The 25,053-nt window shown below is 44.8% G+C and overlaps 2 protein-coding genes across 4 annotated transcripts in view, besides 5 other annotated features; one reads left to right on the forward strand and one right to left on the reverse strand.

The window, feature by feature from the left end:
- Positions 1–3,342: 3,342 nt before the first annotated feature.
- On the reverse strand, positions 3,343–17,599 carry NOA1 (nitric oxide associated 1). Its single transcript, NM_032313.4, has 7 exons — positions 16,435–17,599; positions 13,851–14,015; positions 13,141–13,346; positions 8,377–8,508; positions 6,613–6,729; positions 4,399–4,519; positions 3,343–3,654 (listed from the first exon to the last, which is right to left on the reverse strand). The coding sequence occupies exons 1-7, from the start codon at positions 17,576–17,578 to the stop codon at positions 3,443–3,445; spliced, it is 2,097 nt and encodes a 698-aa protein (NP_115689.1). The 5' UTR covers positions 17,579–17,599; the 3' UTR covers positions 3,343–3,442.
- Positions 5,244–5,346: a silencer, noted in NCBI's record as "fragment chr4:57831417-57831519 (GRCh37/hg19 assembly coordinates)". NCBI's record gives its function as "represses an EF-1alpha promoter that drives an FKBP-Casp9 reporter gene in an ReSE screen in phorbol 12-myristate 13-acetate-treated (for megakaryocytic differentiation) K562 erythroleukemia cells {active_cell/tissue: K562(+PMA)}" and the evidence as "EXISTENCE:reporter gene assay evidence [ECO:0000049][PMID:32094911]".
- Positions 16,832–16,891: an enhancer, noted in NCBI's record as "active region_21586". NCBI's record gives its function as "activates an Ori minimal core promoter by ATAC-STARR-seq in GM12878 lymphoblastoid cells {active_cell/tissue: GM12878}" and the evidence as "EXISTENCE:reporter gene assay evidence [ECO:0000049][PMID:35858748]".
- Positions 17,092–17,171: a silencer, noted in NCBI's record as "silent region_15458". NCBI's record gives its function as "represses an Ori minimal core promoter by ATAC-STARR-seq in GM12878 lymphoblastoid cells {active_cell/tissue: GM12878}" and the evidence as "EXISTENCE:reporter gene assay evidence [ECO:0000049][PMID:35858748]".
- Positions 17,272–17,341: an enhancer, noted in NCBI's record as "active region_21587". NCBI's record gives its function as "activates an Ori minimal core promoter by ATAC-STARR-seq in GM12878 lymphoblastoid cells {active_cell/tissue: GM12878}" and the evidence as "EXISTENCE:reporter gene assay evidence [ECO:0000049][PMID:35858748]".
- A 1,289-nt stretch (positions 17,600–18,888) lies between the features above and the next one.
- The window catches only part of POLR2B (RNA polymerase II subunit B), a 52,263-nt gene continuing 46,098 nt past the window's right edge, over positions 18,889–25,053 (forward strand). For all 3 annotated transcript variants that reach the window (NM_001303269.2, NM_000938.3, NM_001303268.2), the window contains exon 1: positions 18,889–18,997. Coding sequence is in view for 1 of the 3 variants with exons in the window: in NM_000938.3 (NP_000929.1) it covers positions 18,979–18,997 (19 nt within the window). In the remaining 2 variants the exon portion in view is untranslated. The remainder of the gene's footprint in view (positions 18,998–25,053) is intronic.
- Positions 19,163–19,262: an enhancer, noted in NCBI's record as "active region_21588". NCBI's record gives its function as "activates an Ori minimal core promoter by ATAC-STARR-seq in GM12878 lymphoblastoid cells {active_cell/tissue: GM12878}" and the evidence as "EXISTENCE:reporter gene assay evidence [ECO:0000049][PMID:35858748]".

Consider the following 25,053-nt stretch of genomic DNA (forward strand, 5'->3'; position numbering starts at 1 on the left):
GACCATAATTTTTTTTTTTTTTTTTGAGATGGAGTTTTGCTCTTGTGCCCAGGCTGGAGTGCAATGGCACGGTCTTAGCTCATCGCAACCTCTGCCTCCCGGGTTCAAGCGATTCTCCTGCCTCAGCCTCCCAAGTAGCTGGGATTACAGGCATGTGCCACCACACCTGGCTAATTTTGTATTTTTTTTTTAGTAGAGATGGGGTTTCTCCATGTTGGTCAGGCTGCTCTCGAACTCCCGACCTCAGGTGATCCACCCACCTTGGCCTCCCAAAGTGTTGGATTACAGGTGTGAGCCACCGCACCCAGACACAATTTTAACTTATAAAATAAATGGTATTTCATTCCCTCCAAAATAAAAACTAGAAATCAACTGCCAATCAATTTTCTCCATTTGGGAAGCTGCCGCCCTCTAGAGGTAATATGATGTTGGGGGCACTTTCCAGTTGTCACCAGGACTGACAGCAGAGGGAGTTGCTACTGCATTTAGTGTCTGGGATGAGAGATACCAGACATAATGAAATGCAGTTTTTTTGTTTTTTTTTGAGACGGAGTCTTGCTCTGTTGCCCAGGCTGGACTGCAGTGGCGCGATCTTGGCTCACTGCAGCTTCCGCCTACCAGGTTCCAGGGATTTTCCTGCCCCAGTCTCCGGAGTAGCTGGGACTACAGGCACGCGCCAGCGCAGTCAGCTAATTTTTGTATTTTTAGTAGAGACGGGGTTTCACCTTGTTGGCCAGGATGGTCTCAATCTCCTGATCTCATGATCCGCCCGCCTCGGTCTTCCAAAGTGCTGGGATTACAGGCGTGAGCCACCGCGCCCGGCTGAAATGCAGTTTTATATATAAAGAAAGAACCACCTTGCCCAAGATACCAGTAGTACTCACTTTGAAACACTATGAAAGGTCTACAACAAGTTGCATCATCTTAAAAAATTCTCCATTATATTTAATCTAAGAGGACTTAGAAGAGGACTGAGGAGTGGGGAGAAGACAGGAGAGTGTGAAATACATGGGGGCTCCCATATGTTGGGACAGAACATGGTCCTCTCAGGAATTTCATGGCTCTAACTGCGTTTCAGCCTAGCTTATCTTACCAGCATTTATTTCAACATTAGGATCTGGGACTTGACTTGCCAATTCTTCATGACACAGCTGTGGTACTACTTACTCAGCTAGGAATAACAAAAGGTGTAGACTTTTTCTTTTTTCCTTTTTTCAGACAGGGTCTCGCTCTGTTGCCCAGGCTGGAGTGCAGTAATGTGATCATAGCTCACTGCAGCCTCCATATCCCAGGCTCAAGTGATCCTCCTGACTCAGCCTCTCCAGTAGCTGAGATTACAGGCACACAGCGCCACACCTGGCTAATTTTTTTGGGTTTTAGTAGAGATGAGGTCTTGCTGTGTTGCCCAGGCTGGTCTTGAACTCCTAAACTCAAGCAATCCTCCTGCCTTGGCATCCCAAAATGTTGGGATTACAGGCATGAGCCACTGCTCCTGGCCAATAAAGACTTCTGATTGATGTAATGTTATTCAGTCATATAAAGATGAAATGTAAATAAAATGGTTAAAGTGTCCTCTCAGTTGCAGAATAGACCTCAGTTGCTAGAAATACATAGCTTTTTAAAAATCTTTATTTATTTAGTTTTTTTGGGATGAAGTTTTGCTCTTGTTGCCCAGGCTGGAGTGCAGTGGTGTGATCTCGGCTCACTGCAACTTCCTTCTCCTGGGTTCGTGCAATTCTCCTGCCTCAGCCTCCCGAGTAGCTGGGATTACAGGTGCCCACCACGCCTGGCTAATTTTTGTGTTTTTAGTAGAGATGGGGTTTCACCATGTTGTCCAGGCTAGTCTCTAACTCCTGACCTCAGGTGATCCACTTGCCTTGGCCTCCCAGAGTGCTGGGATTACAGGCGTTGAGCCACTGTGTCCAGCCGACAATTCATTTTTATTAAAAAAAATAATAGAGATGGGGTCTCACTATGTTGACCAGGCTGATCTTGAACTCCTGGCCTCAAGCGATTCTCCTGCCTTGGCTTCCCAAAGTGCTGGGATTACAGGTGTGAGCCACTACATCTGGCCTTGAATCCTTTTTTATCTAAGATTTTCAGGCATTGTCAAATTGTGTAAGGTAAATTTCTACTTGTTCTCTAGTATCCATTCTCCCCATTTTTCCTTAATAAAAACCCCAAATGGTTCCCATTTCCTCCTCCATTTCCCAGCTTCCTTATGGGTGGGTGTGGCCATGTGACTTGACCTGTGGACTATGTAAACTGATGTGTGCAACATCCAGCTTTTCTTCCCTTCTTTTAAATAGGGAAGTTGCTTGCTCTCCATACTTTCCCCCTTTTTACCCTTGCTGGAAAAGGATGACAACTTGGGCAGCCACCTTAGACCTACAGATGGCCATGGAATGTTCCACCAGCTGGATCCTTGGAGCAGAGCCACCTACTCACTTCTATCTTATTTAAGCCAATGAATTTTGGAGAAATTAATTTTCCTGCCATTTTTTCATATACTGACTGCTAACTCCAAATAAGAGAAATGACATCTGGTCTCAATATAAAAAACAGTAGTGAGGCGGGGCATGGTGGCTCACACTTGTAATCCCAGAACTTTAGGAGACCGAGGTGGGTGGACAACATGGTGAGAACTTGTCTCTACTAAAAATACAAAAATTAGCCAGGGGTGGTGGTGCATACCTGTTATCCTAGCTACTCAGGAAGCTGAGGCATGAGAATTGCTTGAATCCAGGAGGTGGAATTTGCAGTGAGCCGAGATTGCACCACTGTACTTCAGCCTGGGTGACAGAGCAAGACCCTGTCTCAAAAAAAAAAAAAAAAAAAAAAAAAGAAACAACAGTAGTGGGAGAAACTTGAATATAGCAGGCTTCCAATTTTATATATATGTGGGTCACAGATACATACCATATACATACTATACAAAAAAAAAAACTTTTTATAAGCTGAATACATTATGAACATAAGTCTTGAATAGTTTAAAAAAGTTAACTGTTAAGAGCTTTGAAAAGGGTGAGGCTGGCCGCGGCGGCTCACGCCTGTATTCCCAGCACTTTGGGAGGCTGAGGCGGATGGATCACCTGAGGTCAGGAGTTCGAGACCAGCCTGGCCAACATGGTGAAACCCCATCTCTACTAAAAATACAAAACTTAGCTGGGCATAGTGGCGCATGCCTGTAATCCCAGCTACTGGGGGGCTGAGGCAGGAGGATTGCTTGAACCTGGGAGGTAGAGGTTACAGTGAGCCAAGATCGTGCCACTGCACTCCAACCTGGGCAACAGAGCAGGGCTCAGTCTCAGAAAAAAAAAAAAAGAAAAAAGAAAAAAAGGGTAAGAATGGGAGCTTTATTTATGCGTTATATGTTTAATACAAATTCAATGTATTTTGTTGTGTTCAATACAGTTAATATCTGGAGTGAACAAGGTCGGTCTCATACATTTATCTTTCCTTTCTTCTTCCTCACGTTGTACATAAGGGAAGGAGGCTTCTTGGTTTTATAGGCCACACTTTTCTTGATGCGCTGTCCTTTGATGTTAACAATATATGGCAAGAGAGGGGGCCGGACGGTCAAAACTGTTCCTTCAGGTGTATAGCCTCGGAGATGCAGTCTGTCCTTAAAATTAGGTGTTACTGAAACCCAACCTATGCAGGCATGTGACACAACACAAAAGGCTGTTAGCAATCATCTTATTAAAAATACCAAACCAAAGCTGAAAATGGACTATCAGAGAACGCTGTCACTCTCTTTCACTCTCTTATTATTTTATTATTTTTTAAGAAACTGCGTCTTGCTATGTTACCCAGGCTGAACTCAAGTTCCTGGGCTCAAGCGATCGTACTGCCTCGGCGTCCCGAGAAGCTGGGGGCACAGGTGGACACACCTTAGTTTTAAAAAAGCATACAATGCGTTTGTGCAAAGTACAAATTTATTTTCAGAATAGGTTGTATTTTATGAATAAACTAGTATGTACACCTTAAAATAATCAGCTTTCATCAGTTAAGGCACTTTTCTATAAAAAAAATTGTCGGTAAGGCTGCTTTATTCACTTTTTGTTTTTTTTTTTTGAGATGGAGTTTGGCTCTTGTTGCCCAGGCTGGAGTGCAATGGCATGATCTAGGCTCACCGCAACCTCCGCCTCCTGGGTTCAAGCGATTCTCCTGCCTCAGCCTCCCGAGTAGCTGGAATTACAGGCATGCGCCACCATGCCCGGCTAATTTTGTACTTTTAGTAGAGACGGGGTTTCTCCATGTTGGTCAGGTTGGTCTCAAACTCCCGACCTCAGGTGATCCGCCCACCTCGGCCTCACAAAGTGCTGGGATTACAGGTGTGAGCCACCGTGCCTGCCCTTTTATTCACTTTTTAAAAAGTGCTTGGCATAAAATTACCTGCAGAGGAAAACTTGATGTCGGCCACTGCTTCAGATGCCCCCAGTCCTTCTTTTAACATAATGTCTTCAGCAACAAGAGGAGGAAATCCTGCCATTCGTTCTTTTCCACCCATTGGAATCTTCCAATGAAATAAAGATATTTACAAGTTCAAATTAAATTTCTTGGAACTCTAACATTAAGCAAATCACTGATAAGATAATTCTGTACAGGGATCAAGAATAAAATCCTTTCAAATATTCAACTGTTGAAAAGAACTTGCAATCACTTCTGGGGTCAAATGAAAAGCAAGGGAACTCTGTGATGGGATGAAGCTTACAAATCTCAGGGCTCTGGGCCACACATTGGGCAAGCACCTGGCAGAAGCCTCTGGACAGGAGAATTGTGCTTCACTGACACTGTTTTTAGAATCCTCCACAGGGCCTCACATAGATTAATGTTGGGCAATTAAGGCACGGTCCTTCTAAGTACCTTAGTTCTTATAGGTGTGGCCATCAGGATTAATGCCTGGTCTTTATGAGTTAAGGGTCCATATATAATGGATAAGATTTAGCTTTTATGTTTACAGGTGTTTCCACGATTAGAAGTAATTGAGTAATTTTTTTTTTTTTGAGATGGAGTTTTGCTCTTGCTGCCCAAGCTGGAGTGTAATGGCACGATATCAGCTCACTGCAACCTCCGCCTCCAAGGCTCAAGTGATTCTCTTGTCTCAGCCTCCCGAGTAACTGGGATTACAGGCGCGCACCACCATACCAGGCCAATTTTTTTGTATTTTTAGTAGAAACAGGGTTTCACCATGTTAGCCAGGCTGGTCTCAAACTCCTGACCTCAAGGTGATCTGCCCACCTCGGCCTCCCAAAGTGCTGGGATTACAGGTGTGAGCCACTGCGCTTGGCTGTAACTGGGTAATTTATTCATCTATTCATTAGCAAATCTCTCCTGTGTTTAGCACTAAGAACACAAAGATAGATTTTGCAGTATGGTTTCTGCCCCCAAGGAAATCAAAGGGGTAGATAATATGTAAGCTAATACAAGGTCAGAAATGTAATGTGAGGCATCTATAAGTACTATGGTTGTGAAGGAAGGAGTAATGAATGTGTTCAGTCAAGGAAAACATTAGTAAAGAAGCTATATATATATAACAAAAACAAGCAATATATGAGCAATATTTTGAGAAATGAGTCAAAGTTATTTGGTGGAAAGATATTTTCGGTCGCCACAGGTACAGATAAAAACTGGAAAAAGGATGATGAGTTCGGGGAACTATAGCTTAATTGTCCAAAGTATGGTGTGTGTGTGTGTGTGTGTGTGTGTGTGTGTGTATTGGTGATGAGGCTGTCAGGAGTTTATACAACTTTTTGCAACAATGTCACTATTGGGCACTCAAAATGTGGCTGGTGACACTAAGCAACCATATTTTAAATTTTCCCTTTTTTTTTTTTTTTTTTAGAGACAGGGTTTCACTCTGTCACCCAGGCTAGAGTGCAGTGGCATAATCATGGCTCACCACAGCCTCATACTCCTGGGCTCAAGTGGTCCTCCTGCCTTAACCTCTCGAGGAGCTGGGATTACAGGTGCATGCCACCATACCTGGCTAACTTGAGCAAATTTTCTTTTTTTTTTTTTTTTTTTTTTGAGATGGAGTCTCTGTTGCCCAGGCTGGAGTGCAGTAGCGCAGTAGCGCGATCTTGGCTCACTGCAACCTCTGCCGCTCTGGTTCAAGTGATTCTCCTGCCTCAGCCTTCTGAGTGGCTGGGATTACAGGCACCCATCACCACGCCTGGCTAATTTTTGTATTTTTAGTAGAGATGGGGTTTCACCATCTTGGCCAGGCTGGTCTTGAACTCCTGACCTTGTGATCCATCTGCCTTGGCCTCCCAAAGTGCTGGGATTATAGGCGTGAGCCACCACACCTGGCCACTGAGCAAATTTTAATTGTCACTAATATATTTAAACTTAGCCACATGTGGGCTAATGGCTACCAAATTGGACAGTGTAGTCTAGAGAAAAAAATAGCTGTGTGGCTATTCTAGGATCAGTCTATATAGAGCAATTTTGCTTTATAGCCAGAATTCTCAAAGAGAATGAGGTGAGGGAAAGCTAGCTCAAGATATTGTATAACAGTTCTGTACAACAAAGGCTTTCTTAACAGAGCTATGGGACCATCCCAGTGTATACTAACCATAACCATGCAATCAAGGCATGTTGCCTTACCTGGAGTAACGTATGACCTGCATGCTTCTGATACAGAGCGTCTGCCCTGTCCAAGGAGGTGATATGCACAGGGAGGATGTTGGAAGCCACGACTGTAAACCAAGCTGACTGATTTCCCTTAAGAAAGGAAGAAGTTATCTGACCTGGTGAAAAACTTGGAAAACCTGCATATTCAAGGTACAATCAACTAAAAAAAAAACAAACCAAAAAACAAAAACCCAATCAGACTCCCTTTATAAGTACTGGTATGGCAGTAGCTGTAAATCAAATTATTACTAAGAACAGGGGCACAATACTGAAGCAGTGCATTTCAGCAATTCATGTGAAACTATGACTTCTTTGACAGACCCAATACTATTTTTGAAAAAAGTCTATTATTAAAAATTAAAAGGAAATACTATCTGCTTTAATTGTCTCTGTGTAAAGTTAGGTTTAAAATATTAACATTTTATGTGTTCTGATGAAATATATAAGGGTGCAAGCCTGGTGTGGTGGCTCATGCCTATAATCCCAGCATTTTGGAAGGCCGAGGTGGGTGAATCCCTTGAGCTCAAGTTTGAGACCAGCCTGGGAAACATGGCAAAACCCTGTCTCTATAAAAAATACAAAAATTAGCTGGGTGTGGTGATGTGTGCCTGTAGTCCCGACTACTTGCGGGGCTGGGGTGGGATGATCATTGGAGCCCAGGAGGTTGAGGCCACAGTGAGCCGTGACTGTACCACTGCACTCCAGTCTGGGCAACAGAGAGAGATGCTGTTTCAAAAAAAAAAAACAAAAAAACAAAAAAACAAAAAACCAACCCCAAAAGCAAAAAACCAACAACCTCCCAAAACGAAATATATAAGGGTTCTAAGTGTGTAAGGCAAAATTTCTAACAAAGTATGAGCAAACACAAAACCCAAGAAATGTGCTATAGTAATGGCACACAGTTGTATTGTGTTGTTGGACATATCCATATCCATGTTTCATTTTCCTTTTTCTCTTCACTTTAGCAAAATGGAGAGCAATTCTATAGACACTCCAAAATCCCTAGATGCTATATAAACGAATACCAAACAAAAACGTGTATGCATAAAAACACACATATCATGGTATACAAAGTGTGGAATTAATTTAACGCCTATAACCCTGTACCTAAAGGTTTGACTTTATCCCATAGGTTTGACTCTATCCCATAGAATAGGGATAGTATCTTGTCTTAAATGCCAAGCTGTGTAGGGTACTCAATTGAAAACGTAAGTTTTCAAGACCTAGCACTTTTTTGGGGGGATGAGGGAGTAGGGCATTTCTTTTCCCCAAGTTTTTTTTTTTTTTTTGATATGGAGTCTCGCCCCATCACCCAGGCTGGAGTGCAGTGGTGCAATTTCAGCTCACTGCAGCCTCCGCCTCCCAGGTTTAAGTGATCTTCCTGCCTCAGCCTCTCTAGTAGCTGGGATTACAAGTGTGTGCCACCACGCCCAGCTAATTTTTGTATTTTTAGTAGAGATGGGGTTTCACCACGTTGACCAGGCGGGTCTTGATCTCCTGGCCTCAAGTGATCAGCCTGCCTCAGCCTCCCACAGTGCTGGAATTACAGGTGTGAGCCACTGTGCCCAGCCATCCCCAAGTTTTTATTACAGAAATTTTTAAACATAAAAACAAATTAAACCCAATACAATCATGGCTTAGTTATCAACATTTTGTCAGTCGTGTTCATACATCTGCTTCCTTAAAGTGAATCCCAATATTTTAAAATCATTTTTTAATAGTACAGACTTTTCTTACCTGCAGGAAATCTATGCGGCCTATAGCACCCAAAAACAGAACCATTCCTGGTTTAAGCACAAAAGTTCTTGGAACAATGGACTGTGTTGGCAAAACAATATTTACTTCTTTTTCTGTTAGAAGATTTAAAATCTGTGAAGCAAATGGCAGATTTTTAAGAAAATACTTTTATTGAAAATATGATATATTATGATTTACCCGTAAAATAAAAAGTGATGAAAAATATGCCAGACTTCAAAATAAACCAAATTATGTCAGAGTTTGCTATGCATCAAATTTATATAGATTCTTCCTGTCTAAATTAATTTCAATCTGATGGCTCTACCCTTGTTTTACAACTTAATCTACAGTAATGGCAAAATAACTTTATAGGTGTATGAGACTTTCCTATGTCAGCAGCATTCCCTAAATGTCAAAATTAATGTGAACCTGAAAACATGTTGATTCAATACCAAGATAGAAAATATATGCTCTCCTTATCAAGGCTTGTGGGCAGTAGCAATTTCCGCTTAAAGTAATGGTATACGTGACCTTATGTCCTAGTGGTAAGTATGCATGCATTAAATGCAAAATGGTCACCCCATTCTAGGAGCAAGTAAAGTGGCTGAAGAACCTCTTTCTAAATTCTGGTCTTCAATTTCCTTATTTCTCCCAAATATTCAGCAGAGAATGAGAAAAAGTTATAAATCCCCTATGCTTATAACACAGAGGATTTATAATTTATCCCTATGATTTATAATAAATCCCTTCTAAGGATGACAAGTTCCTAGAGAGACTAGAGAAAAATAGAAAAGGAAAGACAGAAGTACAAGATTCTGCAAAGATTTAAGGAATCAAAATCTGGTTAAAAAAGAATAAAGAAGGTACAAATTGGACACAAAACTTGTAAACTTCTTTCTTAACAAGAGGCTGGGCGCGGTGGCTCACGCCTGTAATCCCAGCACTTTGGGAGGCTAAGGCGGGCAGATCACCTGAGGTCAGGAGTTTGAGACCAGCCTGAACAACATGGAGAAAGCCCATCTCTATTAAAAATACAAAATTAGCCGGGCGTGGTGGCGTGCACCTGTAATCCCAGCTACTCGGGAGGCTGAGGCAGGAGAATCACTTGAATCCGGGAGGCGGAGGTTGTGGTGAGCCGAGATTGCACCACTGCCCTCCAGCCTGGGCCATAGAGCAAGACTCCGTCTCAAAGGAAAAAAAGAGAATAACAAGAAAATAAAAAATAGAAATGATACATAGCAGCTCACAAAAAAATAATAAGGGGGCTGCAGATAGTTTTCTTCATTATTTGTGTTTGAAAAGGCACATTAAAAGCCATTTGCAGGTCAGCCATGGTGGCTCATGCCTGTAATCCCAGGACTTTCAGAGGCAGCGGCAGGCAGATCACTTGAGCTCAGGAGTTTTTTTCTTTTTTTGAGACGGAGTCTTGCTCTGTCACCCAGGCTGGAGTGCAATGGTGTGATCTTGGCTCACTGCAACTTCTGCCTCCCGGGTTCAAGCAATTCTCCTGTCTCAGTCTCCCAAGTAGCTGAGATTACAGACGTGCGCCACCATGCTTGGCTAATTTTTTTGGTATTTTTAGTAGAGACGGGGTTTTGTCATGTTGGCCAGGCTGGTCTCGAACTCCTGACCTCAAGTGATCCACTTACCTTGGTCTTCCAAAGTGCTGGGATTACAGGTATGCACCATTGTGCCCAGCTGAGCTCAGGAGTTTGAGACCAGTCTGGGCAACACGGCAAAACCTCACCTCTATGAAAAATACAAAAATTAGCTGGGGTGGCGTGTGTCTGTAGTTCCCAGCTACCCTGGAGGCTGAGGTGGAGGATTGCTTGAGCCAGGGAGGCAGAAGTTACAGTGGGCCAAGATTCCACCACTGCACTCCAGCCTAGACCAGACTGGGCAACATAGCGAGGTCCTGTCTCTACAAAAACTAAACAATTAGTTGGGCATGGTGGTATGTACCTGTGGCCCTAGCTACTTGGGAGGCTGAAGTGGGAGAATTGGTTGAGCCCAGGACTTTGAAGTTACTTGATCACGCCACTGCATTCCAGCCTGGGCAACAGGGGAAACCTTGTCTCTCTTTTTTGTTGAGACAGGGTTTCACTCTGTTGCCCAGGCTGGGCTGCAGTGGCATGATCTCGGCTCACTGCAACCTCTGCCTCCCAATAAGTGTATCAAGTGATTCTTGTGCCTCAGCCTCCTCAATAGCTGGGATTACAGGCATGTACCACCATGCCCAGCTAATTTTTTGTATTTTTAGTAGAGATACAGTTTTGGCATGTTGCCCAGGCTGGTCTCAAACTCCTGGGCTCAAGCAATCCTCCCACCTCGGCCTCCCAAAGTGCTGGGACTACAGGTGTGAGGCACTGTGCACAGCCTGAGTCTTAATACTTTCATTTCACAACAGAGATCCTTGGTTCAGTCTGGGAAACCCTGGTTTAAGACATCAAATAAGTTTATCTGTAAACTAACAGAGAAGCAAACTACCAGTGCTGACAGACGTTTATATCTAAAAATTTGGGGTTCTCATTCTGCTGTCTAGAGTATTTTGCAAATTCTTGCCTTTCTGACACAACTATTTAATAGAGGATATATGACTGAAGTAACTGCTATGCCTGATCTAATAGCATCTGAAAGGGAAGAATTAGTCTGGGCGTAGTGGCTCCCATCCACAATCCTAGCACTTTGGGAGGCTGAAGTGGGTGGATTACCTGAGGTGAGGGGTTTGAGACCAGCCTGGCCAACATGGCGAAACCCTGTCTCTATTAAAAATACAAAAAGTAGCTGGGTGTGGTGGTACATGCCTCTAATACCAGCTACTCGAGAGGCTGAGGCAGGACAATCGCTTGAACCCAGGCGGCAGAGGTTGCAGTGAGCCAAGATCATTGCGCCACTGCACTCCAGCCTGGGCAAGAGAGTCAGACTCCATCTCAAAAAAAAAAAAAAAAAAAAAAAAAAGTATGGTGGGGGAAGAATTAGTTCATTAAGCTAAAGTGACAGAATATTATTAGAAAGCAGCTCTGAACTTTTGGACTGCTAAGGAAGAAAAGATGGCATGAGCAATTATTCCAGGAGAGCAATAAAATTTAAAAGGTGTGTATGATTCAATGACAGGGGACACCAAATAGAATACAATTCTGAGAATGTAACTATAAGTGTTCCTGATGAGGCCAAGAAAAGTACCTAAGAAACCAATGTGGTTTTGTAGGGAGATACAGAGATAATTAGAAAATCGGAAACTGGTCAGTAACCAGATTCGAAGGAAATGATTAATGAATCTGTTGTGAGGCTGTATCCTGGATGCACATTTGAGTCAATCAATGATCTGAATGAAGATCCAAACTGCAAATATAAAAAGTAATGAGATTGAATGAATATTTAACAGAGTAAGATATAGGCTGAATTTAACAAGACAAAGTCAAAGTTACCTATGAGGCCCAAAGTTGTCCATGAGCAATTGGATAAAAGAGAGGCATAGGGACAAGACAGGTGGAGTTAATGCTATTCTTTTTTTTTTTTTTTTGAGACAGAGTCTTGCTCTGTCACCCAGACTGGAGTGCAGTGGCACGATCTCAGCTCACTGCAAGCTCCGCCTCCCGGGTTCACACCATTCTCCTGCCTCAGCCTCCCGAGTAGCTGGGACTACAGGTGCCCACTACCTCCTGGCTAATTTTTTGTATTTTTAGTACAGACAGGGTTTCACCGTGTTAGCCCAGATGGTCTCGATCTCCTGACCTTGTGATCTGCCCGCCTGGGCCTCCCAAAGTGCTGGGATTACAGGCGTGAGCCACTGCGCCCGGTCGGAGTTAATGCTATTCTAAATCATGCTCACCTGAGAGCACTGAGTTCTCAGTGTCACACTTTAAGAACAAACATAGAAAACATTCTGAAGAGGCCTGGGCCAATGAATAGCCTGTTTCCTACAGCACAGCTGTAGGAAATGAAGACAAATAATCCAGATTGTGGGCACAGTGAATGCTCAACGTTTGCTGGATGAAGTAATGAAAGAGAAGAAAAGGGAGGGATAGGTGAAGAAGAGATGGGACGTTACATTTTAAAATATTTGTCTGGCAAGGGAAATAGGTATTACCTTAGTCCCAGATGGCTTTGGGGAACAATGGATACATGTTACAGGGAGACTATTCAGCTCAGTACACTCAATACAAAGAGAAGGTCAAAGACCCAAATGAGTTACCTTGGAAGGTGACATGACAGTTTCAGCTTTGGTGAGTCACTCCTTTCAGTTCAAGATGGAGGACCCCTTGATGGATATGTTACAGAGGTAATTCAAGCAGGGACTAGGGAGTTGGACTCCAGTGATATTTATGTGTTTTTCCAACCTCAAAACCTAGGCTTCTGTAAACGTTTCCCTAACCAAGGTAACAATCACAATGATAAAATAAGTTGGTTGTCAGCAATGAAGTCTATCAAATGGAACACAGAACTTGATGGCATACAGATTCACCCCTAAACAGCTTTCATGAATGAATCAGAACTGAGTCTAAAATGGAAGTATACTTCTTTTCCTGTTTTCTGCCAATTAAGACAGCAGTACTTGTGCAATTGAAAGTAAATGTTTCTGAGGCTGATATGACTAGTAATAAAACTCCAGTTTCCCATTTAGCTGGCTCTACATGCATTACACTCTTTCTCTATTGCAATTCCCCTGTCTTGATAAATTGGCTGTATCTGGGCAGCAGGCAATATAAACCCATTAAAAAAGAAAAAGAAAGTAAATGTTTCTAAAAGAAACCAAATACATACACAATTTTCTTTTGTAATTCCAGGGGTGTCATAAAACCAGTGGGCATCTTTCACATCTTGTGCAGTCAATTCTACTTGTTTGGTGGATTTGTGTGTACCCATAACAGGGTCATTTTCCATGTCAAAGGCAAGTGAATCAGCATCAAACTCAAAGGGAATGTTATCCTTCTGTTCTTCTGAATACAAGAATGTCCTTCCAACTCTTCCTAGAACAAGTTATAGTAAGGTTATTAGTCACTCCTTTAATACTTTTAACTCCAGACATAATTTTTATGTTTCCCTCAAACAAGTTACTAAGATTACAGTGTAGGGAAGTGAGACCATAATGATACTTTTGCTTTTTTTTTTTTCCAAAAAGCAGTGGGAGTCAACTCTTGCAATAATCAAGCGTGTGGCTGGCTGTGTACATGGAGTGGCGGGGGCAAGGGTGTGTGGAAATCAGACTGTTTTAAAGAAAGGCTGAAAAGATATACCAAGGAAAGACAGACAACCTAATCTAAAGCTGCTGCATGGAGTAAAAACTTTTACTACCTGTACTGCTCTGGGTTTCCAAACAGTAGCCTTATCGCTAAAGGGCCTCTTTGTTGCAGAATAAGGAAGGCAGTCTCTCCCCACAAAAACTGGCTAGCCTCGGACAGCTGTATTTCAGGTTGCTTAACAAAGAATTTTAGCATAGTACCAACGAGGGTTTTCCCATAGAGGATGCTTACCTACGACATAACCATGCTTTTTGAGGACATTAAGCTGATTTTGTTCTTGCTCACTAAGATCTTCTTCAGCTTGAGTTGAATCTTTTTTAAGTCTTTGATGCCTTTTAAACATTCTGTAAGGAGTTGGGTTGCAAATAGGAAACTTCAGAAGGTTTAATGTAGTACCTGAAATACACAGAATAAATACATCTTTACAAAAGGGAATAAGGGGGAAGAAAATGAACATTTTTGAGGATCTACACTGTGTTGGTTACTGTAATAAAATATAAAATTACTGCCACTTTACAAATGAGGAAATAGGTTAAGAGATTAGTTCACAGGGGAAACCAGAATTGGAATCCAAAATCTGTAGGCCCGATTTCTTTCCATTTTTATCACATTACCATTCAGTATAAAAGTAATTTTTCTGTAAAATTCAAAGTGCAAGACAGAGAAGAGCAGCTTACTAAATGAAACTTTGGTTTCAAGGGAACAAATGGGGCAGTCAGTTTTGTCAACTTAAATTTAAGCCTGGCTGAGCGTAGTGGCTCACACCTGTAATCCCAGCACTTTGGGAGGCCCAGGCGGGTGGATCACTTGAGGTCAGGAGTTCGAGACCTGCCTTGCCAACATGGTGAAACCCTGTCTCTACTAAAAATACAAAAAATTAGCTGGGTGTGGTGGTGCACACTTGTAGTCCAGCTATTTGGGAGGCTGAGGCAGGAGAATCGCTTGAACCTGGGAGGTGAGGGTTGCCGTGAGGCGAGATCGCACCACTGCACTCCAACCTGGGCGACAGAGTGAGCCTCTGTCTCAAAAAAAAAAAAAAAAATTTAAACCATAGAAGGACTCATTTTCTAATTACAGAAGTTTGTTTCTTTCTTTCTTGTTTTTGAGACAGCGTCTTGCTCTGTTGCCCAGGCTGGAGTGCAGTGGTGTGATCTTGGCTCAGCCTCCCAGGTTCAAGCGATTCTTCACCCTCAGCCTCCTGAGTAGCTGGGATTACAGGCACCAGCTACCAAACCCGGCTAAGTTTTGTATTTTTAGTAGACATGGGAGTTTCACCATGTGGGCAGGTCTGGTCTGGAACTCCTGACCTCAGGTGATCTGCCCACCTTGGCCTCCCAAAGTGCTCGGATTACAGGTGTGACCCACTGCACCTGGCCACAGAAGTTTCTTAAAGTCACAAGACTGATACTTCTGTTTTTTTGGGTCTCTGTTGTCCAGGCTGGATTGGAGTGCAGTGGCCCAATTAGGGCTCACTGCCACCTCAACCTTCCAGGCTCAGGTGATTCTCCCACCTCAACCTCCTGAGTAGCTGGGACTACAGGCACGCACCACCAGCCTGACTAATTTTTGTATCTTTAGTAGAGACAGGGTTTCACCATGTTGCCCAGGCTGGTCCTGAACTCCTGAGCTCAAGCAATCTGCCCACCTTGGCCTCCCAAAGTGCTAGAATTACAGATGTGAGCCACTGAGCCCGGCAAAGCCACACATCAAATTGCACTAATGGGCTGGGAGCAGTGGCTCACACCTGTAATCCCAGCACTTTGGGAGGACGAGGTGGGCAGATCACGTGAGGTCAGGAGTTGGAGACCTGCCTGGCCAACATGTTGAAACCCTGTCTCTACCAAAGATACAAAAATTAGCTGGGCATGGTGGTGCTTGCCTGTAATCCCAGCGCTTTGGGAGGCCAAGAGTTCCAGACCAGCCTGGCCAACAAGGTGAAACCCCATCTCTACTGAAAATACAAAAATTAGGCCAAGCGCGGTGGCTCACACCTGTAATCCCAGCACTTTGGGATGCTGAGGCGGGCGGATCACGAGGTCAGGGGTTTGAGACCAGCCTGACCAACATAGTGAAACCCCGTCTCTACTAAAAATATAAAAATTAGCTGGGCATAGTGGCGTGCGCCTGTAATCCCAGCTACTCAGGAGGCTGAGGGAGGAGAATCACTGGAACCCGGGAGGCGGAGGTTACAGTGAGCCACTGCACTCTAGCCTGGGCAACAGAGCAAGACAAGACTCCGTCTCAAAAAACAAAACAAAACAAACACAAAAATTAGCTTGGTGTGGTGGCGCATGCCTCGAATCCCAGCTACTAGGGAGGCTGAGGCAGGAGAATCACTTGAACCCGGGAGGCGGAGGTTGCAGTGAGCCGAGATCACGCCACTGCACTCCAGCCTGGGCGACAGAGTGAGACTCTGTCTCCAAAACAAAACAAACAAACAAAACACAAAGTTCATTAGGTTCAGACAGTAAAAAGGACGCACACTTTCTGGAACAATATACAAAGAAGTTACAAAGCAAATCTCCAGAACAGGAACTTTGCTTTGTTCCCTGGTCTATCTCCAGTGCTTAGTGACTGGGAACAGAGACGTGCTCCATAAACACTTCCATTGAAAATTACTACAACACATCCTCAATTTTCCCTAGCAGTAAGCTGACACAGAAGAGAGGTGTGACCAGAGTGGGGAGAGAATTTGTAAAGGGAAGGGTACAGGCAGCCCGCAGTGGACATTAAGGGAGGATGTACTCGGTGCCTCGGCCAGGACCAGACGTCCACCTTGCCAGGAAACGAAGAGGGCGAGCCTCCTAAAACTCACCTGGCCAAGGGGAGATGGTGGCTCTGTCGATGGCCTCGGAGCCCTTGGCAGTGCAGTAATCGGACTCCAGGAGCGTGTTAAAGAGAGTGGATTTGCCGGCGTTGGTGGCGCCCACTAAGTAGACGTCCCCACGGTAGCGCCAGGAGCGCTGAAGGGCAGAGATCAACTCTTCCACTCCATAGCCGGTCTTGGCGCTGATCAGCCGCACGTCCCTGACCACTGTGCGGGACCAGTTCGGCGGATTCGGATTCTCCCCGTCCTGTGGCTCGTCCTTGACGGGGCGCTGTGGCCCTTGGTGGCCAGGGGCCAGCAGGAGCCCGGCGCGGGCACAGTCCTCCCACAGTCGCTCCCGCAGCCTCTGCCGGTAGCCAGGAGCATCCTGGGGCAGGAGGTCCACTTTGTTTCCCAGCACGATCAGCTGCTTGGGGCCCACCAGCGCGGGCAAGTCGGGCAGCAGGGCGTCGGGCAGGTCCAGCAGGTCCACCATGTAGAGCACCAGGGAGGGGCCGGGCCGCCGCAACGCGGCGCTCACCAGCTCCAGGTACTGCTCGCGGCTCACCTGCAGGCGTAGAGCGCGCCGGTGGTGCGACAGCAGCCAGCAGCGCTGGCACACGGTCCGTGCCAGCCCGCCGTCTGCCTCCGCCGTGCGGAGGAACTTCTCTCGGGGCAGGTAGCCGGGCACTCCGGCGTCCTGGCAGTGCAGCTCTGCCCCACAGCCCGAGCAGTTCACGCCGCTGGGCGGCAATGCCGGGTCCGGGTGCCCCACGACCGGGTGCTCCCGGGACCTGGCCCGTAGGTTTTGCTGTCGCCGCTCCTCCCGCCGCTGCTGCCTCTGTCGCTCCTCCTCCTCCTGCTGTTGCTGGAGCTCCTGCAGCTGCTTTTCGCGGGTGGGTTGCGGCTCCGGATCCAGGATGTACTCCGGGAACAGAAAACGCTCCTGCATGTCACCACCTTCTCCAAAGCCCTCCGTGTCCACGGGGTCATAAGGAAGCTCGCGTCCCAGACTCGATGAGTGCTGGAAGGAGGAGGCGGCAGCGCACCTCCTCTCCAGGAGCGGCTCCCGGAGGCCATGGCGCGCTGCCGTGGGAGCGGATCCACGAAGGAAAAGGCTCAGCAGCCTGAACGGTAGGCGAGCGGGCAGCATGAGGAAGTAGCTCCAAAGGGGCGGAGCCACCAGCGCGCACGCGCACTAGGGTCCGAGGCGCGCATTTGACCCGAGACGAAAGCGCGTGGGTACTTGGGAGCTGTCCTGGTTGGTTTTGCGTCTAATCCCGTCAGTTCTCGCGATTTAAGCTCTGAGACTGAGAACCTACTTAAAGCTATGGCAAAGGCACTGGAGGATTGAGCTAGGTGGGCAGAAAAGAGCAGTGAGTGTTTTGGGTTTTTTCACTTTCAGGCTTAACGCCTCACTGCTAGCACAAGCCGCCCTTAATAAATCACACTTAAAAAGGAGCTTCCGGGGTCGGGCGCGGTGGCTCACGCCTGTAATCCCAGCAATTTGGGAGGCCGAGGCGGGCGGATCATGAGGTCAGGAGATCGAGACCATCCTGGCTTACACGGTGAAACCCCCATCTCTGCTAAAAATACAAAAAATTAGCCAGGCGTGGTGGCGGGCGCCTGTAGTCCCAGCTACTCGGGAGGCTGAGGCAGGAGAATGGCTTGAACGCGGGAGGCGGAGGTTGCAGTGAGCCGAGATCGCGCCACTGCACTCCAGCCTGGGCGACAGAGCGAGCCTGTCTCAAAAAAACAAAACAAAACAAAAACAGAAAGGAGCTTCCGGCCGGGCGCGTGGCTCACGCCTGTAATCCCAGCACTTTGGGAGGCCGAGGCGGGTGGATCACCTGAGGTCAGCAGTTCGAGACCAGCCTGGCCAACGTGGTGAAACCCCGTCTCTACTAAAAATACAAAAATTACCCGGGCGTGGTGACCCTTGCCTGTAATCCCAGCTATTTGGGAGGCCGAGGCAGGAGAATCGCTTGAACCCGGGAGACGGAGGTTGCAGTGAGCCGAGATCGCTCCACTGCACTCCAGCCTGGGCGACAGAGCGAGACTCCATTTCAAAAAATAATAAATAAATAAAAATAAAAAATAGCTTCGTGTTTTGGTCCTTATAAAGGCAAATAAATTGAGCATCCCAATGTTGCGGATTCACAGGACGAACACTTTTTAATAATAAGTATACCTGGTTTTGTTTTCAGGTGTCGTTATTTGTGCAACAACATTGAAAAACAAGCAGAAATAAAACATTGACGGAACGGATACGACCGCAGATTGCGGGAGCTGTCCTCTCAATCAGCCCGGCAGCGGCGGCCCACAATTTACGCGTGTGCAACCCTAACCCCGGCCCAAGCTTGACCTACAATTTGCGCAGGCGCAGATCCTAACTTTGGCGTCCCTGTGGGCGGCCTTTGGTGTGAGACGCGTGGTATTCTGGGAACGTCGGAGACGGAAGTTACTTCGTCTTTAGCTCCTGGCGCTGCTGGCTTCTGGGCGGTTTTTGTCTTTTGATTTCAAGAGTTAGGAGCTCGAGAACCGTTTGGCAATATGTACGACGCGGATGAGGGTAGGTGAACGCTCAAAACACACGCCGTGGCGGTCCATTTAAGCAGGAAAGCGTTGGGAACTGATTGGATTGAGGATTTGGGGCCTTCCCATGCGCCGGCTGCACAGTCCCCAGCCTTGTTCCCACACTTACCAGGCCGGGAACGAAACTGGGGTAGGGAGAGGCGGAGGGTGCAGGGAACATAGTGTTAATGTTCCAGGTTACGTTCACTGCTGCTCTCTGCACTTTCTCGTTCCGTTAGATCTGATCCTCGTTTCCTGTGGTGAAGTAGCGTGCAGAATCGTAAGATAAATTACGTTTTGAATTTGAAGCAAAGGGCACCCTTTAAAAATTTTCCTTAAAGCCACAGTCGACTTAACGAATAGCTCAATTGTTGAGTGTCAGCCTGTGTCAGGCAGTGTGGAAGGTCCTGGAAATATTCCGGGACAGAGAATATCGGGGGGTGGGGGTGGCGGGGGGGACTCGGTTTAGTCTGACATTTCTTCATACTGTTTGTAAGTCAAAGTAAATTGTCTTAAAGGATGACTTTTAACTTCCTCTTCTCACAATGTCACAGTTCTCAGATGATATGTATTCTGCTGCACTGGGCCAATGTATAATACCTGTTTGTTTGCGCATATGGAATTCTTAGTAGTGGCCGAGCGCGGTGGCTCCCGTCAGCACTTTGGGAGGCCGAGATGTGCAGATCGCTTGAGACCAACCTGACAAACATGGGGAAATCCTGTATCTACTAAAAATACAAAAATTAGCCTAGTGTGATGGCGTGCGCCTGTAATCCCAGCTACTCGGGAGGCTGAGGCCGGACGATCGCTTGAGCCCAGGAGGCGGAGTTTGCAGTGAGCTGAGATCGCACCACTACACCACAGCCTGAGTGACAGAGTTAGACTGTCTCAAAAAAAAAAAAAAAAAATTCTTAGTTGAGTCTAGTGTATTTTCGTAGCCGCCTTTTCCATTCTCCATATCTGCTAATTCAAACCTTATTTTCTTATAGCTCTCAATTCCTTGGCCACCCCCTACATCTCCTCTCTCTATTCCCTCAGGTACTTCTGATAAATCAGATGGAAAAAATTGAAGCAAAAGCTTAATTTTTTTTTTTTTTTTTTAAGAGATGGGGTCTGGCCATGTTGCCCAGGCTGGTCTCAAACTCCTGAGGTCAAACCATCTGCCTGTCTCGGCCTCCCAAAGTGCTGGGATTACAAGCATGAGCCAATGTGCCCAGCCAAAAGCTTAAACTTTTAAAGCTGTTTAAACTTCTGTCTCATTTATATCTTGTGTTGTAGAAATTTATTAGCATCATTATATTCCTTGTTCTTTTTTAACTACTATCTCAGTAGAAGAAAAATTCGAAAAAAAAGATTTTTAAAGCATAATTTTTGGCTGGGTAATATATTCTCATAGCTCACAAGCCAGAAAATTTAAAAATGTTAAAGTGGGGTGGCTGGTGCAGTGGCTCACGCCTGTTATCCCAGCATTTTGGGAGTCTGAGGCGGGTGGATTACTTGAGCTCAGGAGTTCGAGAGCAGCCTGGGCAACATGGGAGACCCCTCTCTATAAGAAATAGAAAAATTAGCTGGGCGTGGTCTTGCTCACCTATAGTCCCAGCTACTTGTGGGGCTGAGGCTGGAGGATCGCTTGAGCCTGGGAAGTTGACACTGCTATGAGCTGAGAACAAAGTGAGACCTTGTCTCAAAAAAAACAAGTTAAAGTGTCACGTCTCCTTCTTACCCACCATCTGCCCAGTTTGAACTCTCCACAGTGGGTAACTACAGTTATAACAGTTATAAGAGGTTCTTATCACTCCACAGTTTCTTTTTTTTTTTTTGATGGTCTTGCTCTGTTGCCCAGGCTTGAGTGTGGTGGCGCAATCTCGGCTCACTGTAACCTCCATCTCCCAGGTTCAAGCAGTTCTCCTGCCTCAGCCTCCCGAGTAGCTGAGATTACAGGCGTACACCACCGTGCCCAGCTAATTTTAGTATTTTTAGTAGAGATGGTTTCTCCACGTTGGCCAGGCTGATCTCAAACTCCTGACCTCAGGTGATTCACCTGCCTCGGCCTCCGAAAGTGCTGGGATTGCAGGTGTGAACCTCCAAGCCCAGCCTCCACAGTTTCCTTATGCATATTTAAGCAAATATAAATGGGATTTTCTCTTTTTTTAAAGACAGTAATATTCACACTTTTCTCCACTTTTAGATTTTGTTTAATGTGTCCAGGAGATTTTCGTATCAGTACACAGAAAGCATCGCGCCCCCCCTCCCGTGTCCCCACCCCCAGTTACTTAGTTTGTGTGGATGTACCATAACTTAAGTAGTCTCTTGATGGATATTCGGTTTATTTCTAGTCATTTTCGGGTTCAAACAGTGCTGTAAATGAATAATCTTGTACGTATAATTTGCCCAAGTATGTCTGTGGGATACATTTCTACATATAAAATTGTCAGGTCAAATGATATGCACGTTTAACATTTTGCTAGATGATGCCAAGTGACCACCATAGTGGTGATTGTACTAATTTTGCATTCTTATTAGCAATGTATAATGATCCTGTGGAAAAAGAGTTTATCAGGGTTGCTTTAGCAGTGAACCTACATTTTATTGCCCATGTCCTCTGAAATGTTTATTAGATAACGTCCTCATCAGTTTTCAGTCACTATGTGAAAATGTCAGATTTCTGTCATCCACATGGAAACAAGTTAAATTCTTTTCATTGTTACCTTTTTCTTCTAGTATTTTACCTTTCTTCTTTCACTCACAGCCAAACTTATAAAAATAATAAGCTGTCCTTGTTTCTAATTTTCATCTTTCATGTGCTTTTCAACTGATTACAATATGTTTCTACTCATGCTACTACATTAAGATAGCTCTAAGATTGACAGCGACTTCTCAATTGATAAATGAGATGGATATTTAAAACTTATCTAAACCCTGTGGTCTTCAAAACTGTTGATGACATCTTCCCGGAAACTCACTCAGCTTTCTAGCGACATCACTTTCACTTGATTTTTCTTATCTGACTTTTCTCATTTTCTTTCCTGTTCACATTCTCCTTGGGTGATCTCATCCATTTTCCATTGTTTCAGTTACCATCTGTATGCGGATAACTTCTGAATGTGTATACTTCTAGTTTAAAATCTGGGGTATCTAACTGCCACTAGCCAACTAGGATATCTCCCAGGCTGCTTAACCTTGTCAACTGCCCAAACTGAGCTAATTATTTTCTTTTGCTATTCCCCTCCCAAAGCCACTGCCTCCTGTCTTCTCTGTCTCGGTGAAGGGCACATTTGGCCCTCTGTATCTGTAGGTTTCACATCTGTATATTCAATTAACCTTGGATTGAAAATATTAAAAAGCTTGAGGCCAGGAATTTGAGACCAGCCTGGGCAACATAGGGAGACCTCATCTCTACAAAAAAATTTAAAAAATTAGCTGGGCATGGTGGCATGTGCCTGTGATCCCAGCTCCTCGGGATACTGAGGTGGGAGGACTGCTTGAGCCCTAAGAATTTGAGGCTACAGTGAGCTGTGATCACACCACTGCACTTCAGCCTGGGTAACAGCAAGGCCCTGTCTCAAAAAACAAAAAAGAGAATATTAAAAAAAAATTGCGTCCTTGTAAAAATGTACAGACTTTTTTTTTCTTGCCATTATTCCATAAACATTACAAGTAAATAATTATTTATATAGCATTTACATTGTATTAGGTATTATAAATAATCTAGAGATAATTTAAAAGATACAGGAGGATGTGTGCCTAGGGTATATAACAGTGCCATTTCATGTCAGGGACTTAAGCATCTGTGTTTGGTATCTATGGGAGGTCCTGAAACCAGTCTCCAATGGACACTGAGGTACAACTGTTGTACCCTCTGTTGTTGAAACCGAAAGCCTGGGCATCATTTTTGACTCCTCTCTTTCACCTCTATATCTAATCAGTCACCAAGCCCTGTTGGTTCTGTCTCCTAAATATGTCAAATCTGGCCACTTCTCTATCCCCTCCACCATCATTCTAGTTCATGTTGCTGCCATCCCTTGCCTAGATTACTCCTAACTGATTTGTATACTTCCAATCCACTCTCCACACTGGCCATAGGGATCTTTCAGAAATGAAAATCTGACCTAGCCACAACCCTGCTAAACTCATATCTCTTGGTAAAGGCCAAACTCTTCTTATTCCACTTCCAACTTCACAATCTGTGCTTCCGCTACATTGGCCTTCTATCATTCTTTGAATATGCCATCCTGTCTTGCATTATGGGGTCTTTTGCACAATTTGTTTTTTTCTATTTGGTAGGATTCTTTCTTGACTCCTACCTTTGTCCCTTCCTTTTGCCTGATTACTCCTGTTTATAACACGAGATCTCTGCTCAGGTTTTTTTTTTTTTTTTTTTTTTGAGATGGAGTTTCCCTTTGTCCCCCAGGCTGGAGTGCAGTGGTGTGATATCGGCTCACTGCAACCTCTGCCTCCCAGGTTCAAGTGATTCTTCGCCTCAGCCTCCTGAGTAGCTGGGATTTCAGGGATGCGCCACCATGCCCTTCTAATTTTTGTATTTTTAGTAGAGACGGGGTTTCACCATGCTGGCCAGGCTGCTCTCAAACTCTTGGCCTTGTGATCCACCTGCCTTGGGTTCCCAAACTGCTGGGATTACAAGCGTGAGCCACTGCGCCCGGCCAGCTTTTTAAAGAAAATTTTAGAGACGGGGGTCTCGCTTTGTGGCTCAGGCTGGTCTCGAACTCCTGGGTTCAAGTGATCCTGCTGCCTTGGCCTTCCAGTGGTGGGATTACTGACATGAGCCACTGCACCTGGCCTCTGCCCAGCTTTTGGGAAGTCTTCCCTAACCTTTTCAGATCTTTGTCAGGAATATTCATATCACTTTTTTTTTTTTTTTAGACAGGGTCGCACTCTCACCCAGGCTGGAGTGCAGTGGCGTGATCTCGGCTCATTGCAACCTCCACCTTCTGGGTTCAAGCGATTCTCCTGCCTCAGCCTTCCTAGTAGCTGGGACTACAGGCAGGTGCCACCATGCCTGGCTAATTTTTGTATTTTTAGTAGAGATGGGTTTTCTCCATGTTGGCCAGGCTGGTCTCGAACTCCTGGTCTCAAGTGATCTGCCTGCCTCGGCCTCCTAAAGTGTTGGGATTATAGGTGTGAGCCAGTGCGCCCAGCCTGAAAAAAAATCTGATAAATGGATGAGTAAATGAGTCTCCTTCATGAGTTCATTTTCCTTTGTATGACTTTTAAAGTTGTTCCCAGATATCCTGCCTTCAGCCTTCCTTGTCTGTGTATAATCTCATTTTTCTCCCACCCATTTGTTAATGATTCCAACTATGTACTTTTTTTTTTTCAAATTTTAAAACGTTTATTTTATTGACACATAATAGATACACATTTGTTATATGCCAATGTATATCTATTATGTGTCACATGTTCTTTGTCTATAATGTAGACTCTTCATTTGAGTTTATATTCATATATGTGTGCCTACTAGAAGTATTTGAAGGTATTGTGATCTATAGATATCTCTAAAGCCGATCTCATCATTACCTCTCCTTTTTCCACCATCTTACTTGCTTCTCCTGTATGGCAGTGATGTTAACTTTTAATCTCTCATCAAAGCTAGAAATGTCTGAGCTATTATACATAGCTTTGTCTTTCTTACCCTTCCCTCAGGTGTAGGGATTAATAATTCCAGTCCATTTAAGAAGTATTTATTAAAAATTTATTTTGTATATGTATCAAATTTTGAACCCAGATCTCCTGAATTTCATAGGCTATATATGTGTACATTAGAATAAAAGCCAAAAATACAGCACACTTATTCTTTCCCTTAAGAAGATGGGACTAATATTAGAGGACCAGTGCACACTGATTTTTTTTTGAATGCATATTTAAATTACTGTTGCATAACTACGCTAAAATTTAGCTACTTAAAAAATTATTTTGTTATGTTCATGGATACTGTGGGTTAGGATTTTGGACAGGGCATAGCAGGCATGACTTGCCTGTGTTCCACCGTGACTCTGGTTCATTTGGGAAGACATTAAGGCCAAGTGTTGACAGCTG

Source organism: Homo sapiens, chromosome 4 (assembly GCF_000001405.40).
Source record: "Homo sapiens chromosome 4, GRCh38.p14 Primary Assembly".
Classification (NCBI taxonomy): domain Eukaryota; kingdom Metazoa; phylum Chordata; class Mammalia; order Primates; family Hominidae; genus Homo; species Homo sapiens.

What these genes read in the sequence shown, in the direction of transcription:
- NOA1 (NM_032313.4), bottom strand. Translation starts at nt 17,578, where the DNA reads ATGCTGCCCGCTCGCCTACCGTTCAGGCTGCTGAGCCTTTTCCTTCGT. An exon ending in CACCATCTCCCCTTGGCCAG is followed by an intron (nt 14,016 to 16,434) that starts GTGAGTTTTAGG and finishes TGTGTATTTCAG; the next exon opens with GTACTACATTAAACCTTCTG. An exon ending in GCCGCATAGATTTCCTGCAG is followed by an intron (nt 6,730 to 8,376) that starts GTAAGAAAAGTC and finishes TCCTTTCTTAAG; the next exon opens with GGAAATCAGTCAGCTTGGTT.